The sequence below is a fragment of the Homo sapiens genome, chromosome 8 (genome assembly GCF_000001405.40).
Source record: "Homo sapiens chromosome 8, GRCh38.p14 Primary Assembly".
Taxonomy (NCBI): Eukaryota; Metazoa; Chordata; class Mammalia; order Primates; family Hominidae; genus Homo; species Homo sapiens.
In genome coordinates this window covers 102615703-102637176 of record NC_000008.11, presented here as the reverse complement: position 1 = coordinate 102637176, position 21474 = coordinate 102615703, and the positions used below count along the sequence as shown (strand labels likewise).

Genomic DNA, 21474 nt, shown 5'->3' with positions numbered 1-21474 from the left:
AGGCAAGAACAACTTCAGGTCAGGCTGATCCTAGGATGCTCAACCCAGCCCCAGGCTAAACCCCCGAGGGAAGATCAGGGTGAGCTTTAAAGCACAAATTCTATTCTCCTGTGCTTGGAAAGTTGAAAACAAACCATTGTGATCCTGGGTTCAACCCATGGGCTTCCCCACTTATCTAGTCTTGGACATAACGTTTAACTTTCCCAAGCCATTACTCTCGGGTGTAGATAGAATGGACGTGATATTGAGACTCACCTCCAAAGAATTGTTTCAGGGGTGAGCAGACATACTGCATTGGAATTAGCCTGTATATAGAAGGTGCTCGATAAATGTTAGTTAGCACTGTTATCCTAACTCCCACCTCCCATCCCCACTGCAAGAGTATCCTGTCAATGCCTGTTTCTGCTCTTATTACTTCTCTTGTCTAGCAATGTCTTCTTCCTCTCCATGGTACACATACAACTCCTGTTGATGATTAATGCCCATGGCAGGGCAGGCGAGGGAAAGGGCCCATCCTGGAGCCACCTGGAAAGAGTTTGTATCTGTTTGCTCGGGCTGCCATAGCAAAGAACCACGAACTGGCTCCTCAGGCCAGACAAGAGAAGGAAGAGAAGGGAATAAGGGATGGAAAGAAAAACCAAAACTGGATTCCAGGGAAACCTCACTGGCCTGAAATCTTCTCCACATCAGCTGCTAGGCAGAGCTGCCTGCTGACTGAGTCCTGGCTGCCATCCCTGCTCAAAGGCCTGTGCTTACGCTCATGGAGGAAACTGAGGATGCTGGGACATTACTGGGGGACTGAAGTAGCCTTTTTTTTCTTTTTTTCTTTTTTTTTTTTTCCTTTTTTGAGACAGAGTCTCAGTCTGTCACCCAGGCTGGAGTGCAGTGGCATGATCTTGGCTCACCGCAACCTCCACCTCCTGGGCTTAAGTGATTCTCCTGCCTCAGCCTCCTGAGTAGCTGGGACTATAGGCGTGCACTACCATGCCCAGCTAGTTTTTGCATTTTTAGTAGAGACAGGGTTTCGCCATGTTGCTCAGGCTGGTCTCGAAATCCTGAGCTCAAGCAATCTGCCCACCTCAGCCTCCCAAAAGTGCTAGGATTACAGGCGTGAGCCACCGCACCCCGCTGAAGCAGCCTTTTTTCTGACATCAGACGTGGCACTTCCAACCCTCACCTTCAGGGACCTCTGTCATTGGCCAGCTCTCAGGCAGCAGAGCACTGCACTCGGACTGCAGCCTGGGGAAACCACAGTGTGAACCCAGAAAATCTGAGACAGATCTCAGTTAACTTAGGAAGTTTATTTTGCCAAGGTTGAGGATGTGTCCCTGACCCAGCCTCAGAAATTCCTGATGACATGTGCCCAGGGTGGTCGGGGCACAGCTTAGTTTTAAACATTTTAGGGAGACATAAGACATCAATCAATATATGTAAGAAGTACATTGGTTCGGTCTACAAGGGCAGGACAACTTGAAGCAAAGGCAGGAAGACTTGAAGGGGTGGGGCGGGGCTTCCAAGTCACAGATAGGTGAGAGAAAAATGGTTGCATTCTTCTGAGTTTCTGATTAGCCTTTGCAAAGGATGCAATCAGATATGCATCTATGTCAGCGAGGAGAGGGGTGACTTTGAATAGAATGGGAGGCAGGTTGGTCCTAAGCAGTTCCCAGCATGAGTTTTCCCTTTAGCTTAGTGACCCCAAGATTTATTTTCCTTTCACAGTGAGAAACCAGCCATTCACAGGATATCCATGCTTTTGGGGTATGTGGTGTGTGTGTGTGTGTGTTTAAGGGATAGAAACTGAAACATGTTATGTGATGAGCATTAATACTGACTTTTGCTTTCAGCTACACAAATGTTTACGGTGGTCTTGCTCTGTACAGGCCATGCTTCCAGAATTAGCAGTCTAAAATACAGATTTTTTCCCCCTGATTTGTCCCTTTTGTTGGTTTTTACTGGGGCCTGGCTGAACCAAGAGGTCAGAAATTCTGCCGTTCGTCCCCACCACTTGGTGTTCTGGTTTTGGCTGATGGATCGCTTTGAGTTTTTCTTTGCTGGTTGTGTTTAGATTAAGTCCCTGGTTAAGTGCACACCTTTGGCTGTGCTGTCTTGCCCCAGTTTTGGGTTTGTCCTACACCGTAGTGTGAGCAGCTGCTACAGGGCAAGTATTTCCTCATGTCAGTTGCCTGAGTGCCTCTTCTTGTGCTGAACAATGGGGTATTATAAATTCATATCCTCTCAGGGGTAAAATACAGAATTTAAAGATTCCTCCTGAGAGCCACCCCATTACCCATAGAGTGGGGTCCAAACCTCTCACAGCATTCAGAAGATTTTCATGATCTGACCATAGCCTCCTAGGCCAGCACATCCACCAACGCTGCCTCCCGTGAACTACAAACGCCAGGGGTATCACATTCCTGCCTTCGAGGAGCTCAGAGCTGGTGTGGAGAGTCCCAGAATGCCTTTACAGATCCAGTAACAACGGCAGGCTCCCCTAAAAGAGCCACTTACACACTCAGAGACACGTGTGGAGGTGGCAGGAATGCTGGGCAGTGCAGCCCTGCTTGCAGGTCGGATGCTCTAGCTCGACGCCCATCCTTCTTGGCCTTGTTGTCATCTGCTTTCTCTCTGGAAAAGGGCCTGCCCCTCCCCCCTGCCCTCCTAGCCTGCGCCACAGCATGCACAGGTCTCCTTTTGGAGGCAAAGATGTCTCTCAGTGACACACCACACGGTGTTTCCACCTAGCACAGGTCTTCACGTCCCCTGAGCCCACCTATCACACACTCCTGCCCTCCGCAGGCCTCTGCTGGTACAGACTGGCCAGATTTAGGTGGAGTGGGAGAGACAGCCCATGAATGGGGATACCCGCAAGATGCAGGCTGAGTGCGGCAGGGCCCCTGACCTCCAGTTTTGTATACATTTTGGAGGGGAAGACTCTTATTCTCAGCTTCCCAGTTCTGACCAGAGGACTTTTTCCGTGTATTCACAGAGGGTCCGTCTCTCAGCAACAGACTAAAATTACAAATTCCACAAGACTGCTGTCCAAGCCAGAATGACATTTAAAAATTTTTTTTTAATTTAAACTTAATTTCTTATCTTTTTATTTAATTTTTTGTTCGTAATTTTTCCCCATACTATGCTGATATAGAGAATGACAGTTTATTACTTTCTGCTGGATATTAGTTATGGGGGATATTAGTTAAGGTATTTGGCCACTGTAACAGATGATCCAGAAATTTTTTTTTCCTGTTTTTTTCCTGTGTACTGTAGTTAATGTTGCTTTTGCCCTGTGGGCAGGTGTTCCTGCTCCCTCCGAGCAGTGACTCGGGAATCCACGCACATTCCATCTCTGGAACCCCAGCCTCTGCCTGTGGTTTCCAACATCACCCCAGAGACTGTTACCGTGCCAGCCGGCCAGAGGGGAAAGAGCAGGAGAGACGGCAGGGAGAGTTTTATGCCCCCTATCAGTTGCTAGGGCTGCTTTACCAAACTGCCGCTACAGCACTTCGGTGGCTTAAAATAACAATAATGTACTCGCAGCCGGGCGCGGTGGCTCACTCCTGTAATCCTAGCACTTTGGGAGGCCGAGGCGGGTGGATCACGAGGTCAGGAGATCCAGATCATCCTGGCTAACATGGTGAAACCCTGTCTCTACTAAAAATACGAAAAAATTAGCTGGGCGTGGTGGCAGGCGCCTGTAGGCTACTCGGGAGGCTGAGGCAGGAGAATGGCGTGAACCCAGGAGGCAGAGCTTGCAGTGAGCCCAGATCGTGCCACTGCATTCCAGCCTGGGTGACAGAGTGAGACTCCGTCTCAAAAAAAAAAAAAAAATGTACTCGCTCACAGTTCTGAAAGCCAGAAGTCCAAGCTGATTCCTTCTGGAGGCTCTAAGGAGGAGCCCATTCCACGCCTGGGGGCTGCTGGCCATCCTTGCCATGCCTTGGCTCTTGCCTCTGCCTTGGTCTTAGCGAGGCCCTGTCCCCTGTGTCTCTCTGTGTCTTCTTCTCCTTTGCTGTCTAAGGACACCTGTCATTGGCTTTAGGGCCCATCCGAATCCAGGAAGTCATCTCAAGATCCTTACCTTAATTACACCTGCAAAGGCCCTTATTCCAAGTGAGCTCACTTTCTGAGGCTCTGGTGGACATGAATTTTGGAGGGAACACGATTCAACCTGCTGCATGGGGCACATCTGGAGATGGTACAGCCCTTGTGCCTACTTTCCATGGGCCAGAAATGAGTCACATGGCCATACGTAACTCCGGGAGACACTGGAAGATGTCACCCAGCTGTGCCCAGAAGGACGAGGAAGCCAATTTGGGGAAGAGCTGCCTGGCTCTGCTACAGGGGAGGAGGTCCTTGTCCCAGCCAGGAAGCTCAGGCTTCCAGGGGGAGGAGTGATTCTTCCCTAGGCAGAACTGGATGTATACTGACAACATCTGATATCTGTTCCCCTTTGTTGATGGCAAGCGCTGGCTGCTCTGCCTGCAGACATTTTCTATGAGATACAGAACTTGAAGATCGGTTCCGCATGCTTGATGTGTGCTGACATAGCCGGTTCCACCACTTGTCCTTTGGGTGAAATTGGGAAGCTTTCCTCACCCCTGCTAGGCAGTCCCCTCCCCAACTTGTTATACCTCATTCCTGATGCTCCCTTCCAGATGTCAGTAACTCCACGGACTGTAAGTTCCCGGTGACCTCTCCTGCGACCTTACTCCCTTGGAATGGGGTGAGACCCTGCCAGGTTGGTGATTTTGTAAGACAGACCACAACTTCTTCCTCTTTGCTCTCCCTTAGGTTCTAGTTTCCAACAAGGAGTGCAAGTTATGTTCTGCTCCTCTAGCAGGGTGGGCAAGCCTGCCTGATTTGGGGGTTCAAAATTAGGAAGCTCATTTACCTGCAAATATAAGTCAGATTTATTTTCCAATATCAATGTAATAAAGGTAATAGTTTTGACCCCAAATGCTGTACTATTTTGTCTTATTGCGCATTTAGTTTAGCTGAGAAGAGATGTGCTATTTGTTGAGAGTTAAAAGTCCCTAACTCCTCTGCTATAGTCCTTCTAACTTCCTCCTACACTTAATTAAATACATACTTATTTTTAAGGGCCTTGCACAGTTCCTGAAACATAGTAAGTGTTTGTGTTTGTTGAATGAATGAATGAAAACTGGGAAAATTATATATATATAAAATTTTGTATATATATGTAATTATATATATGTAATTACACATATAAAAAATTATGTAATTATATATATAATTACTTATGTAATTATATATATAATTACATATGTAATTATATATATGTAATTATATATATAATTACATATGTAATTACATATGTAATTATATATATAATTATATATGTAATTATATATATGTAATTATATATGTAATTATATATGTAATTATATATATATTTGTAGAGGTTATACATATAACATCTAGACGTTATGTGTAGAGGTTATACATATAACATCTAGATGTTATGTGTAGAGGTTATACACATAACCTCTACAAAAACCTGCAAAAATATGACACTATAAACTCCTAATTTTCTGGACTATAATTTGGCAATGTTTATCAAGAGCCTGAAAAATGCTTATATTTCAATTCAGGAATTCTACTTCTAGGAATTTATACTAAGTAAATACAATAGATATGTGCGAAGAGTTATGTTCAGGATCTTGGCCACAGTATTATTTAAAATAACAAATGCTGAGACAACCCAAGTATTTCTTATCAATCATATTTCATTGTTACAAACAACAGAAACTAAGTCTGGGTATTTTAAGTTAAAAAGAGAAAGGGAGAATTTTTTACAGGACACTAGATAGCTCACAGAATCTCCAGGAAATCCAGGAAACTGGTCCTGAAGGCCAGAATCAGCACTCAGGTTCAAACTGCAGCATATCTAATGAATATACCCCTGCTGCTGCCCCAGCAGCAAACACTACAGCTGATTCCACCATCATTACAGCAGCTGAATGGTGGGTTCTGGAACCTGATGGAGCAGCCACCCCTCCCCCATCCTCACAGGACTAGAAATCTTTAGACCTTGCTTCTTCACACTATCTTCCCATTCAAATTTGGGTAGAGTCATCGCATTGGTAAATACTAGGCCTTGTGATCACATTTTAGCTGCAAGGGAGCCAGGAAGTCTTACTGCCATCTTTCTTCATTTCTGTTTCATTGGGTGAGGGAGTCTCCGAACATAGGAAAAGGGTTCAGATACAAAGTGTACAAAGTTGCCTATAAGAATGACAAATATCCACTACAGTATCTAACCCTCAGAAGATTACTAAGTGTATGACACAGATGGCACATCCAAATGATACTGTACTATGGGAGTCTATAGAATTCATGCTTTAGAAGACATAATGTCCTGAGGAAATAATCATGATATACTAAATTTTTAAAAATCGAATTCTAAAATAGTATGATCCCAGATACATATATTTTCAGATGGAGTCTCGCTGTGTCACCCAGGCTGGAGGGCAATGGCTCACTGCAACCTCCGCTTCCTGAGTTCAAGCAATTCTCGGACTGCAGCCTCCTGAGTAGCTGGGATTACAGGCGTGCGCCACCATGCCCAGCTAATTTTTGTATTTTTAGTAGAGACAGGGTTTCACCAGTTTGGCCAGGCTGGTCTTGGACTCCTAACCTTAGGTGATCCACCTGCCTCGGCCTCCCAAAGTGCTGGAATTACAGGCATGAGCCACTAAGCCTGGCCCCAGATGTCTTTAAAAATTCTGTGTATATAAAAAATGGAATTATAATAGATGGCAGAATGTTAATAGAAGGACTCTGGGTGGAGGGATCATTAGTGATGTTTTCTATTGTATACTTTTCTAGGATTTCCAGATTTTCTAAATGTACATGTATTTTTATAATTAGAAAGCAAGTATGCAAAGATTTTTAAGAGACTAGAAGTGAACAAAACAGAAACATTAAGTGAAATGCCTTAATAACAAGCTCTTTGGGAACGCATCTGAACTACACTTGAAGGAGGAAATTGATAGCAGATGACTTTATTAAAACCTCAGACATCTCTCCAGATCTGTGAGAGCTTAGGTGACATGGTCAGAGCCAACTTAGATTTTCCTTCATTTTCCATAACTATTGTCTTGTCAACCTCACTTGGGGGGTATCTTACATAGGAATAGGTCTGAGGGACAGGACAGGCTTGGAGGCACCATTCTGCACCTTCTCCACCTCAGGAAGCATGAAGGCAGGGGACACAGTGAATATAAATAGCCTACATGACCTTGGTGGGGTGGGCAACAGGGCTGGATTTAGCGTCAGGGTTTGGCTGTGGAACAGTGGCACCATCCAAGTGGAATGCAGGTGGAAGTAAACTAATTGGTCCAAGATATTTTTCGACTAGGGAGACTTTGGTGTGAGAAAGAAAAGGTCAAGCCTCCAGGAGCTTAAAAGACAGGGAAAAAAATTGTGAGAACTAAAAGTGTTTTTAAAAAACAGCTAAAGCAAAAATGGGGCAAAACTCAAAATTAGGATAAGAATATGCAGCCAAAGGTTATTGGCATTGAAGAGAAAGATGAAAGAAGAAGATGCTTGTTTTGTTTGTTTGTTTTTTTGTTTTTTTGAGATGCAGTCTCACTCTGTCACCCAGGCTAGATAGAGTGCAGTGGCATGATCTTGGCTCACTGCAAGCTCTGCCTCCCAGGTTCACGCCATTCTCCTGCCTCAGCCTCCCGAGTAGCTGGGACTACAGGCACCTGCCACCACACCCAGCTAATTTTTTGTATTTTTAGTAGAGACAGGGTTTCACCGTGTTAGCCAGGATGGTCTCGATCTCCTGACCTCGTGATCCGCCCGCCTCGGCCTCCCAAAGTGCTGTGATTACAGGCGTGAGCCACAGTGCCCAGCAGAAGACGCTTGTTGAGAATCACCAACCTGCCAGGCAGTGAGCTTAGGGTTTTAGGGCATATTTATTTCCTTTCAGCAGGTTAATCACTCTGAAGGGGGCCGCAGTGCAGCTGAGGTCTAGGGCCTGAGGGATTCAGGTATAATTTTCCTTTCTAAGGACTTCTCAGCAATAAAATTACTCATTTTTGCAAACCACATAAAGGGGTGAGATCTCCAGGAGTAAGTTAAAATGTTCTCTTCACTTCAATCAGAGGTGCCTATTAAAACGCAGATTCCCAGGCACACTAAATCTACAGAATGCTCTGGTGAGTGTCTGGGGACCTGCTTTATAAAAACGCACTCCTGGGTGAGTGGTAAACACAATCAAGTTTGAAAGCCATGTAGCCTGCTGCCTTCCCCCAGGTCTGTCCAAGGTCTGAGCAAAGGTGCCAGCTTAGACTTTGGTCCCGGGTTTGGCTCTGCCACTCAGGCATGTGACCTTGAGCCCTGGCTCTGCTTCTTTGTACCATCAGATGGGGTAATAATACCCTGTCCTTTCCTGCAAGGCGGCTGGGAGAAGAAAATGAGATAATAGAGATAACAGAAATGAAGGCGTGTTGAAAGTAAACTGATCTCTGCAAATGTGAGGCAGCGGGGCCACATTGGATAACTTCATCAGCTTGGAAGGCTCTGAAGTCAATGTTCTGGGGGCGGGTCAGGTAAAACTGTGGGAGAAGTAGGAAAGGCCTACAAGTCTGGAAGCCAGGGGGTGTGAGGGTGTAGCCACAGGCTGTCCTTGCTTTGACAAACTACAGCCAGCCCAGGAAGGGCAAACGTTACTCCTGAAAAGGCTGGATGGCAGCTTTGTGTGGTTTAATTGGGGCGAAACTGCCAAGAGTTCCTATGGCCCGTTGTGGGGCTGGCCCCAGCACCACCCTCCTGGCAAAAGGTAGCAGAGGTGTCTGCGATGCTGAGGCTGGTTCCTAATGTGGCGAATTCCAATCCTGAGGGCCAAGCTTGGTTGGTCTGGCAGTTTGTTGGAGAGAAAAGCGTCTGACTTCGGGGTGGCCTTGCTGGGCTTTGGGCCAAAGCTGGGCCTGTGCAGATGTGGCTGAGCCACAGTGCAGGGCAAAGGGAGGTGAAAGGGGCAGACACAGATACCCAGCCCCAAGCAAGAGCCCCACAGGCCTTGCCCTGACCCAGGCAGGCCACAGCCCTCCAGGAGCCCCTTCCTCTATGAAACCCTCCACCGCCATCCCAAACGATGGCAAAGTAGCTTCTGGTATCCATTAATCTGTTCATTCAGCCATTGCCGACCACTTACCAGTCAGAGAACCCGGGCCACAGGGGACAGCACGCCATTCTTCTTTCCAGAGGAAAGAGGTCTGTTGCTTATAGTTTAGTGGTTCTTGCCCTTGTGTTTGTATGGAAATCCCTGGAGAGCGTGTTTAAAAGGCTGATTCCTCAGCCCTCCTTGTGGAGATTCTGATTCAGCAGGTCTGGAAGGAGGAGGAGGAACCCACACATTGACGAGCATCTCAGATGACTGTGTTATGGGAGGTCTTCCCCTCAGCCTGGGAGAGACACTGCCCTGGCCTCAAACCCTTCGGGGAAGAACTTGGTGAGATGCAGCCTCTGAGAATCTGCATGCTTCACGGTGACCACCTGGGGTGTCAGCTTTGGAGCAGGGAGGAGACGGTGCCCCCTGGTGAACGAGTGGGGTTGCTGGGAGTGGGAGAAGTGCTTTCTCTGGGTGGGGTTGCCCGCTTTCCTCCAGGACAGCTGTTTTGCCACCAGCCTGCTGCCTTCCTGGATGTGCTGGTTTTCAGCACCCAGCAAGGTGAAATGTTTTGCCTGGCCGGGACAGCTCACTCGAGCTGGAGTTCCCATGTTCTAATTGTCGACAGCCAGCACTGGCATGTGCCTTTTTGGGATCTTTCCTGGACGTCTTGCACCTTATTTTTCCATCTGGTTTCTGGCAAACTGTGAGTCTAAGTAACTTCGTAATTCCCACCATTCCAGAATCTCATATCTCTTTTCAAACTCAGTGAGCTCTTGGAATTAACCCTACTTACTCTCCAAACAATTTTAACTCAGAATCCGGATTAGGAAGCCTGCTAAAGGGCACAGTGAAATCAGGACTCTATTTTTCCCAGCAAGTATTTAAATTCCATATTAAAACTAGAATAGCTATTTTAAAGGAAAAAAATCAGATTTTTAAAAACTTTAGTCTGGAGGAAAATATATTTATTCTGGAGTCTTGTGTCCAAAATACATTTATTTCTTTACTTATTTTATTTTTTTGAGATGGAGTCTTTCTGTGTCCCCCAGGCTAGAGTGCAGTGGTGCGATCTCAGCTCATTGCAACTTCCGCCTCCCCGGTTCAAGCAATTCTCCTGCCTCAGGCTCCTGAGTAGCTGGGTTTACAGGTGCCCACCACCACATCTGGCTGATTTTGTATTTCTAGTAGAGACAGGGTTTCGCCATGTTGGGCAGGCTGGTCTCAAAATCCTGACCTCAGCTGCTCCTCCCACCTTGGCCTCCCAAAGGGCTGATCACATTTAGATAAAAATTTTTGCTGTACCTGGGGCAAGGGTCTCCAAGGATCTCAGTTTCAATTATTTTTAAGAGTTTTTCTAATACTTTTTAAAAAATGGGCAGTTTCTGAAAAGAAGAAAAAGAAAAAAAGAACAAAAGTGAAGCTTTCCAAATTCTAGAAAGTTTCAAACGGTTTGTTGTATCCTTGGAAAAACAGCTCTGGCGTTGATTGCACTGGTTTGGAAAGGCCTGGGGGGTGGAGAAAGTCATTCTATACCTTGGGCTCTGGACTCTGGGCTCTGCCATCGGACTTCCTGGGCTCCCTTCGATGCCACCCATGGTTTCAGGCAAGCTTCCTGATTTCTGGAATACTCAGTCTCCTGACTTGTAAAATGGTGATATGACGACCACTTTGTAGGTTCATTAATGAAGATTAAATGATATAATCTGTGTAAAGAGTTTAGCACAGTGCTTGACTCAGAGATGTATCAAATAAACGCCCCCAATCATCATAATCTTCATCATCATCATCATCATCACCATCATCATAGTCTTCATCATCTCTCAATGCAATCGAGGAAGAGGAAAGCATATGATGAAGAACAACCAGAGGTCTCTACCACTGCCGTGTTTCCTGCCTCCAGCTACTCTCCTTCAAAGCATTCCTCAGAGGGATTGTCTAAATCACAGCTCTAACGAACCGGACCCCTCCTTTGCTGAATACGCGCTGGGTTTTTCTGCCTCCACACCTTTGCTTAGGCAATACCTTTCCCCTAGAATGTCTTCCTCCCACATCTATGCCTTTCAACCTCCCTACATCTACAGATTCTTCAGGGTCTTGTTTACATACTGTGTCCTTGATAAAATCTTTTTAAATCCCCCCTACAATATGTTTCATTCACTCATTCGATCATGAATTTGATGATTGCACCAGGTGCAGGCGAGATGCCAGGTACCCAGGGTAAATGAGCACAATCCCTGTCCTCTCCCTCCTCACAGACTGGCCGTGAAATCTGCATGCCCTCTGTGTCCTCACAGTACTTTTTTTTTTTTTTTTTGAGATGGAGTCTTGCTCTGTCTCCCAGGCTGGAGTGCAGTGGCACGATCTCGGCTCGCTGCAACCTCTGCCTCCCGGCTTCAAGGGATTCTCCTGCCTCAGCCTCCCAAGTAGCTGGGACTACAGACATGTGCCACCATGCCCGGTTATCCTCACAGTACTTTCTTGATTCCACTCAGATGCTCATGCCACACTTTGCTGTGTGCAGCTGGTGTTTATATACTGGCTATAGCTCCTTTGGGAGAGAAGGTGCGAGGTCTAAAGCTGAGCATGCACTGCAGACTGTCTGTGGAGGTAACATTACATAATTGAAAAAGCAAACCTGATGTACTTCCGGACATTTACCCAAAAGAATTGAAAACAGGGACTCAAACTGTGATTTGTACAAGCCATGTTCATAGCGGCACTATTTACAATGGCCAAAGGTGGAGGCAACCCAACTGACCATGCCTGATGAACAGATAAACAAAATGCCATCTCTGCATACAGTGGAGGCCAGTGTGGTGGCGCACACCTATAATCTCAACACTTTGGGAGGCTGAGGTGGGAGGATGGCTTGAGCTCAGGGGTTCAAGACCAGCCTGAGCAACAAAGTGAGACTTCATGTCTACTATATATAGTTCATACAGTGGAATATTATTTAGCTTCAAAAAAGGAAATTCTGACACATGCTACAACATGGATGAACCATGAAAACATTATGCTAAGTGCAATAAACCAGTCACAAAAGGGCAAATACTGTGATTCCACTTATATGACATAACTAGAATAGTCAAATTCATAGAGACAAAAAGTAGAATGGTGGTTGCCAGGGGCTGGGGGAGGGGGAATGAAAAGTTTTTGTTTAATAGATACAGAGTTTCAGTTTGGAAGCTAAAAAAAATCTGGAAATGGATAGTGGTTATGGTTGCATAACAACGCGAATGTATTTAATGCCACTGAATTGTACACTTAAAATGATTAACATGGAAAATTATGTATATTTTATTCCAAAAAAAGAAAAGCAAAAAAGGAAATAACTTGGGCATTTTTGAAAGTGTCTTTCTATGTTCAGCCCAAACCAGCATCTCGTCACAGTAATGCTTGAGGTTTAAATGTCCAGGCCTTGGAGAAACAGATTATTATGGAGGAGAAGAGAATGAAGACAAATGAGAACTCACTTCAGGTACTTCCTGGAGACATGGATGACAGGCTACAATGTCCATTCACAGGAAACAGAAAAAGATGTGAGCTTAAATTGATGCAGATGTATATATATATACTCACACATATATAGATATATATTATTTTATTTTATTTTTTGAGACAAAGTCTCACTCTGTCGCTCAGGCTGGAGTATGATGGTGCATTCAGGGCTCACTGCAGCCTTGACCTCACGGGCTCCAGTGATCCTCCCACCTCAGACTCCCAAATAGCTGGAACCACAGGCGTGAGCTACCATGCTCAGCTAATTTTTATTTTTGCTTGAGACAGGATCTTGCCATTTTACCCAAGCTGGTCTTGAACTCCTGGGCTCAAGCAATCCTCCCACCTCAGCCTCCTAAACTGTTGGGATTACAGGCATGAGCCACCATGCTGAGCCCTGATATATATATATTTCTACCAGTATATACATATATATTTTTTCCTTTAACTACTGGAAAAATCAGTCATTATCAAAGACTCAGGGTGTCTATTGGCATAAAGACCAGAGTGGCAATTCTCTTCGGGGGCATCCTGGCCCTGGTAGCCTTGCTGGACTCCGAGGGCCCTGTCCATCCTCAGTCATCTTGTTGTTCAGCCCACCCCATTCTTTCCGGAGAGAGCAGTGAGCTGGAAAGATCCTCCCCTGCTCTTTCACCCACCTCGGTGTCACAGGAAAGACCAAACTTTTGCACCCAACATGGTAGGCGTGGAGGGCACTCACTAGAAAATGTTCTAAGGAAACATAGGCACCATGTCTTGACTTCTTGCTGACCTCTCAGGGAGGGCTTTGGCTGCCAGAGAGTTTTGTGAGCTTTAATAGAGTTTTGATGTGGCTTTGACTTCCACAGTGGCCCAGCTATTTTTAGAAGAGCCCTGTGCTAGATCAGAAAGCTAGTAAATGCTCCTGTTACTCTCCTCTGCCTGTCACAATACCTGGGATTCTTAGTGTCAGAAATCTAGGATCCAGTTTGCTCCATCAGAAGCTTCTTCTGGGTATCACACTCCTACCCTGTGAGCTGGCTGAGCCAGGCCGATGAGTTTTGTTCATCTTCATCCCTCATTATTCCCAGTCTTCCCAGTTCCTAGAACATGAAGTATGTGGAAATTAATGATTTTCTCTAATCATTGGAAATAACCATTAGGGAAGGCATCCAATATTATTTTAAACGAATGGTTACTAATCAAAGATAATATGCCATATGTGGTCCCGTTTAGCTGGAATCAAATATAATACAATCAATCTAAGAAGACACATAAAGAACCTCTGGGGAGGGGGCAGTCTCAGCCTGGAACCTATGAACCCCTAGAGATGTGTGGATTACATTTTGGAGTCTGTTACTCCTTGAAATTGTGAACAAAATGTGTGTGTTTTGTTTGGGGGAGAAGGGTAGATGGAAATATGAGAAGGAAAGAGCTACAATTTTATTAGATTCTCAGTCCTCTGGCCACAACACCTGTAATCCCAGCATTTTAGGAGGCCAAGGCAGGAAGATCACTTGAGGCCAGGAGGTCAAGACCAGCCTGGCCAACATGGTGAAACTCTGTTTCTATTAAAAATATAAAAATTAGCTAGGCATGATGGCTGGTGCCTGTAATCCCAGCTACTCGGGAGGCTGAGGCAGGAGAATTGCTTGAACCTGGGAGGCAGAGGTTGCCATGAGCAGAGATCATGCCACTGCACTTCAGCCTGGGTGACAAAGCAAGACTCCAACTGAAAAAAAAATTTTACTTATGTGGCCACTGTGGCCCAGAGGCAGGAACTGCTCTCACCAAGGTGAGGAGCTTCTGGATGGCAGCTCTTGGTCTGAAGCTCTTTACACCAGCCAGTGTCCCAGACATGGCAGTCACACAGGACAGGTATTAAAAATTCAGATGCAGCCAGGCTTGGAGGCTCATGCCTGTAATCCTAGCACTTTGGGAGACCAAGGTGGGAGGATCATTTGAGCCCAGGAGTCTGAGACCAGCCTGGGCAACACAGTGAGACCCTGTCTCTACAAAAAAATAAAAATAAATTAGCCGAGCATGGTGGTATATGCCTGTAGTTCCAGATACTGGGGTGGCTGAGATGGGAGGATGGTTTGAGCCCGGGAGGTCGAGGCTTCAGTGAGCTGTGATGGCAACACTGCACTCCAGCCCAGGTGACAGAGGGAGACCTTGTCTCAGAAACAAAACAAAAACCTCAGATGCCACAAGGAAGTCCTGTGCCCTCTGTTGTAGGAGTTCTGCAGTGGAGTGGTGTGCTGTGGACGTCAGGTTGGGATGAGGTGGCCTGGAGACCTCTCAGCCCAAGGGCAGGGCAGGAGCCCAGGTAGAGAGCAACTCCCGGGGGCCCTCCCTGGAGCCCAGCACTGCCCACACTGGGGCTGTGAAGCTGGACAAGGAGAAACTGGTGCAAAACCTGAGGGGCCCCAGGACATCGAAGTTCTGCAGACAGACCTCGAGCAATTTGCCAAGCTCCTGAAGCAGAGGAGGATCACCCTGGAATATTCCCAGACCCATTTGGAGGTCCCCGGGGGGTTCTCTTTGGGAAAGTGTTCAGCCAAATGACCTCTGCCGCTCTGAGGCTCCGCAGCACAGTTTCAAGAACACATGTTAGCTGTGGGCCCTGCTGCAGGAGTGGCAGAAGCTGGCAATGAATACCTTCAGGAGATGTGCAAAACAGAGACCCTCCTGCAGACCAAAATAGAAAGCAAATGCTTATTGAGAACAGAGTGGGAGGCAACCTGAAAACTTGTTCCTGCAGTGCCCGAAACCCTCACTGCCTCAGATTAGCCCCATGGTCGAGCTGCTTGGGCTTGAGAAAGATGTGGACCAATGTGGTTCTGTAACCAGAGCCAGAAGGACAAACAATCCATGAGTGTTCACAGCAAGGAGATTTTGAAGTTGCCCCCTTTCTCAGGGGACCAGTGTCTGTTCCTCTGGCTGCAGAACCCCATTTTGGTATCCCAGGCTATGGGGGCCCTCACTTCACTACCTGTACTCCCTGGTCCCTTTCCTGACGGTGAAGCCGTTCCCTCTGGGCTCTCCCATGTAGTCAGACAGAGGTCCTGCCCTTCCCAGGAATGGAGACAAGAAAGGAGAGAAACCAGGGAAGGAGAACCCTGGAGTTTGTAGCAGGGCTTTTGGGATTAAGTTCCTCATTTACTAAAGAAGGATTTGAGAACACGAAGGATTGAGGCAGGGATTTTGGGGAAACCAGTTGGTGGGAAGGTCATGTTCAATGATGCTCTTGATTTTAATCCTCACATCACACATCACTTTGGTCTTAAATAAAGAAGCCTGGGACAGAAAGACACACACACTCTCTCTCTCTCTCTAATGCCCAGGCCCTTCCCCTACGTAGTCTGATCCCATAGGCCTGGGGTAGGGCCTAGGAATCTAGGTATGTAACAAGCTTCCCACATGATTTTTTTGTTTGGGAAACATTGTACAGTAATGTGTCACTTAATGACGGAAATATGTTCTGAGAAATGGGTCGCTAGGTAATTTTGTCACTGGGTAAACATCATAGAATGAACTTACACAAACCTAGGTGGTATAGCCTACTACACCCTAGATACAGCCTACTGTGCCTAGGCTACAAATCCATAGCTACAGCATATTGACTGTACTGAATACTGTGGGCAATTGTAACACCATGATAAGGATTTGTGCACCTAAACATAGCTAAATGTAGAAAAGATACAGTGAAAATACAGTATAAAAGATAAAATGGTACACCAGTATAGGGCACTTACCTTGAAAGGAGCTTGCAGGACTGGAAGATGCTATGTGTGAGTCAGTGAGTGGTGAGTGAATGTGAAGGCCTAGGATATTCCTGAACACTACCACAAACTTTATAAACATGTACACTTAGACTAGACTAAATTTATATTAAAAATATTTTTCTTTCTTCAATAAAAATTAACCATAGCTTACCATAACTTTTTTACTTTATAAACTGTAATTTTTTTTTTGAGATGGAGTCCCACTCTGTTGCCCAGGCTGGGGTGCAGTGGCACAATCTAGGCTCAATGCAACCTCCGACTCCCAGGTACAAGCAATTATCTCGCCTCAGCCTCCCAAGCAGCTGGGATTACAGGCACCCGCCACCATACCTGGTTGATTTTTTTGTACTTTTAGTAGAGATGGGGTTTCACCTGTTGGGCAGGCTGGTCTTGAACTCCTGACATCAAGTGATCTGCCTGCCTCAGCCTCCCAAAGTGCTGGGATTACAGGCATGAGCCATGGTGCCCAGCCATTTTTTTTTTTAATACTTTAAGTTCTGGGATACATGTGTGGAACGTGCAGGTTTGTAACATAGGTATACGTGTGCCATGGTGGTTTGCTGCACCCACCAACCTGTCATCTACATTAGGTAGTTCTCCTAATGCTATCCCTCCCCTTGCCCCCCCACCTCCCGACAAGGCCCAGTGTGTTATGTTCCCCTCCCTGTGCCCATATGTTCTCATTGTTCAATTCCCACTTATGAGTGAGAACATGCAGTGTTTGGTTTTCTGTTCCTGTGTTAGTTTGCTGAGAATGATGGTTTCCAGCTTCATCCATGTCCCTGCAAAGGACATGAACTCATCCTTTTTTATGGCTACATAGTATTCCATGGTGTATAGGTGCCACATTTTATTTATCCAGTCTAACATTGATGGGCATTTGGGTTGGTTCCAAGTCTTTGCTATTGTGAATAGTGCTGCAACAATTTATTTATTTTTTTATGAGACAGAGTCTCGCTCTGTTGCCCAGGCTGGAGTGCTGTGGTGTGTTCTCAGCTCACTGCAACCTCCACCTCCCGCGTTCAAGTGATCCTCCTGCCTCAGCCTCCCAAGTAGCTGGGATACAGGTACACACCACCACGCCCAGCTAATTTTTGTATTTTTAGTAGAGACACGATTTCACTATGTTAGCCAGGCTGATCTTGAACTCCTGACCTCAGGTGATCTGCCTACCTTAGCATCCCCAAGTGCTGGGATTACAAGCATGAGCCACCATGCCCAGCCTATAAACTGTAATTTAAAAAAATTTTTTGACTCTTTTAAAAATAACAGTTTAAAACACACATTGGATAACTGTACAAAAATATTTTATTTCTTTATATCCTTATTCTATAAGCTTTTATCTATTTATTTATTTATTTATTTTACTTTTGGAAATTTTTGTTAAAAACTAGCACACAAATATACACATTAGCTTAGGCTTACACGGGGTCAGGATCATCAATATCATGGTCATCCACCTCCAAATTTTGTCCCACTGGAAGGTCTTCATGGGCAACAACATGCATGGAGCTGCCATCTCCTCTGATAACAATGCCTTCTCCTCCTCTGATAACAATCATCTCTGATAACAAAGCCTTCTTCTGGAATCCCTCCTGAAGCACCTGCCTGAAGCTGTTTTACTGTCAACTTTTAAATATATATATGAGTAGAAGAAGGAGTACACTCTAACGATAAAAAGTATAGCATATTAAATACATAAACCGGTAACACAGTCATTTTTTATCATTGTCAAGTATTATGTACCGTACATCATTGTATGTTATTCTTGTATGTGACTGGCAGCGAAGTGAGTTTATTTACACCAGCATCACAACAAACACGTAATTGCTGTGGTGATATTACAACAGCTGTGATGACACTAGGAGATAGGAATGTTTTAACTCCATGATAATGCTATGGAACCACCATCATACACATGGTCTATCATTGACCAAGACATCGTCATGCAGCACTTAACTGTACTAAGCTAACACATTCACTGTTTAAAGCATTAGGCCAAACCTTAGGAGGCGGTGGCTCTCCATCCATCTGGTCCCGTGGATGAGGACATGGGGGTGTAAAGTTACATTATTAACTACATTGTGTTGAAGCCTTTTCCATGTGCTGTTCAAAGTTGGGTCGTGTACGCCTGCTTAAGAAAAGAAATTTTAAAGTCACATAGGTACATGCAGAACAGCAGATTGCAACTGAGAGAGGGAGGTAAATAGGAAAGGAGAGAGGAGACGAGGGAAGGAAACGCACAACTATTGAATGTTGAGCATCACATTTATGTCAGATACTGTGCTGGGCAGTATACATTTTTTTTTTTGAAACGGAGTCTTGCTCTGTCGCCCAGGCTGGAGTGCCGTGGCGCAATCTTGGCTCACTGCAACCTCCACCTCCCAGGTTCAAGCTATTCTCCGTCCTCAGCCTCCCAAGTAGCTGGGATTACAGGCGCCTGCCACCACGCCTGGCTAATTTTTGTATTTTTAGTAGAGACAGGGTTTCACCATGTTGGCCAGGCTGGTCTCAAACTCCTGACCTCAGGTGATCTGCCCATCTCGGCCTCCTGAAGTGCTGGTATTACAGGCATGAGCCACCATGCCCAGCCTACAGAGTTTACCTTTTTTAAGCACAGTCAAATTCCATGATTTGCCATGGATGACATACCCCTACTGCTCTTTTTCCCTCTTATATTTCCCAGAAAAGCATAGAAGAGTGTAGGCTACCCCATAGGCTACGGGACAGGCATGGGATTGCTCTCTGAAGGCATATATCAGTGATCACAGGATCCCATGTGCTGCAAGAATAGCCATCCACCTATCAGATAGTGAGTTCTTGGAACAAAAACCTTTACAGTGAGAAGCAGCTTACCCCTGATGTAAGCTGGAGAGATGGGCTGAGTGACCAAGAGTTAAACAATGGTTAGCCTGGGACCCTCGTTCAGGTTCCTGTGGGGGACACAGCATGTTGTTTTCCCTCTTCTTTGGCTACACCTGCCATAAAATGGCTGGTTAAGATTTCACTTCCTCCAGAAGGCAACATTCTTAACTTCCTGGGTGTGAGGATCTGTTGTTTCTGTTCTTTATGATACATACTCAGTGAGGCACACCCTTAGCAGGTCAGGGGGTTTGTTAGGTCTACGTGATCCAGCAAAGCCTTTAAGAGAGTGGTTTTTTTTTTTTTTTTTTTTTTTTTTTGAGACGGAGTCTCGCTCTTTCGCCCAGGCTGGAGTGCAGTCGCACGATCTCGGCTCACTGCAAGCTCCGCCTCCCGGGTTCACGCCATTCTCCTGCCTCAGCCTCCCGAGTAGCCGGGACTACAGGCGCCCGCCACCACGCCCGGCTAATTTTTTGTATTTTTTTTAGTAGAGACGGGTTTTCATCGTGTTAACCAGGATGGTCTCGATCTCCTGACCTCGTGATCCACCCGCCTCGGCCTCCCAAAGTGCTGGGATTACAGGCGTGAGCCACCGCACCCGGAAGAGAGAGGGGTTTTTAAGCCCAGATGGATATTAGAATCACGTGGAGAGCTCTCAGTAATTCTGACTGCAATTCATGAGAGATCTCAAGCCAGAACCACCCAGCAAGGCACTCCCAAATTCCTGACCCACAGAAACTGGAAGAGATTTTTTTTTTTTTTAATGTATGTTGTTTTAAGCTAAGCTTATGGTCAGCAAATACTGCCTGCAGGCATATTCTGGCTCACTGCCTGTTTTTGTAAATACAGTTTTACTGGAACACAGCTGTATTCATTTGTTTACATATTGTCTATGGCTGCTTTCATGATCAACAGCAGACGGAGCCTAAAATATTTACTAGCTGGCCCTTTACAGAAAAGGTTTGCCAACCTCTGTTTTAAGTCATTAAGTGTTGGGGTTTTTTATACCACAGTGTATAGCAAACACCACTGCTTTAGGTGGAACATAAAGGAAGATGAGAGAAGGGTGTGGCTGAGGCTGTTTGGGGAATGGATCTCATGAGGATTTCTAAAGCCAGTGGAGATTCCATAGCAGTAACTCTATCCATCTCCTCTTTGAAACAAGGAAGTCTCCTTTTGCAGAAAAAAAATGCTAGGAAGATTATGATTTTGTGCTTAGCAGCCTTACACGTAGGGCTCTGTGCCTATCCAGCAACAGGTGAAGAAATGATAAGAATCTTTTATAGGCTATTTTGAGATGTAAAAACAGCCGGTCTTTACTGGTCACTTCTGAAAAGTGTCTCGTCTGTCAACATTTAGCACATTAGCTGGAAAGTTTCTAAATCTCCTCTTCCCTGGGTGCTTTGTGATCAAGTTTCATATCAGTTAGGATGCTTTTGATTACAGGCAAGAGAAAATCCAACACAAATTTGTATAAACATGAAGGGCGTTTATAGGCTCACATAAGTAGCCCAAAGCCTGAAGATGAGGCTTCAGACATGATATGATCTGGGACTCCAGTTCAATGTTTCTGCAATACTGTTAGCACTGCCTTCTCCATGTAATGGATTTGTCCTCAGTCTGACTTTTCATGTGATAACAAGATTGTTGTGTATAATCCAGGTATTTCATTTGAATAACACACCATCCAAAGCAAAATAAAATACCTGTTTCCCAGAATTTTCAACAAAAGTCCTGAGAATAATTCTGACTAGACCTATTTACGGCATATGACCACCTCGGACGGGAATTTACTTATGGCCAGGGGATGCAATACTCTGATTGGTCTTACTTCTATCACATCATGGATTCTGCAACTCCTAGAATCACAGGAATCCCTGAATTAGGTTGAATAGGTTATGCTTCAGTAACAACCTGAACATCTTAGTAGCTTAATACAACAAAAGTTTATTTCTCCCTTACAAAAAGTCCACTGTGATTTCAAACGACCTTCCAGGGCGCCTGTTCTCCAAGAGTTGGCTCAGCGATCTAGGCTGAATATGTGGCACCTTCACATCAACACAAGTTTCACTGTGGAAGGGGAAGAGAGAGCTTGGAGATGCATGCTGCCGCCCTTAAAAGGCAGGTAACAAAAGTTACAGAAGTAACTTGTGGAAATCACATAAGTTACTTCTGTTTAGATTTCATCAGCTAATGCAAGCC

At 45.5% G+C, this 21474-nt stretch overlaps 1 pseudogene, besides 3 other annotated features; it reads left to right on the top strand.

The window, feature by feature from the left end:
• Positions 2108–2608: an enhancer, noted in NCBI's record as "H3K4me1 hESC enhancer chr8:103646797-103647297 (GRCh37/hg19 assembly coordinates)". NCBI's record gives its function as "activates a minimal SCP1, AML or CMV promoter by ChIP-STARR-seq in naive H9 embryonic stem cells {active_cell/tissue: H9 hESC(naive)}" and the evidence as "EXISTENCE:reporter gene assay evidence [ECO:0000049][PMID:30033119]".
• Positions 2609–3109: an enhancer, noted in NCBI's record as "H3K4me1 hESC enhancer chr8:103646296-103646796 (GRCh37/hg19 assembly coordinates)". NCBI's record gives its function as "activates a minimal SCP1, AML or CMV promoter by ChIP-STARR-seq in naive H9 embryonic stem cells {active_cell/tissue: H9 hESC(naive)}" and the evidence as "EXISTENCE:reporter gene assay evidence [ECO:0000049][PMID:30033119]".
• Positions 8442–8736: a silencer, noted in NCBI's record as "tiled region #12948; HepG2 Repressive non-DNase unmatched - State 3:PromF". NCBI's record gives its function as "represses a minimal TATA promoter and a strong SV40 promoter by Sharpr-MPRA in HepG2 cells {active_cell/tissue: HepG2}" and the evidence as "EXISTENCE:reporter gene assay evidence [ECO:0000049][PMID:27701403]".
• POU5F1P2 (POU class 5 homeobox 1 pseudogene 2) lies at positions 14846–15941 on the top strand (annotated as a pseudogene).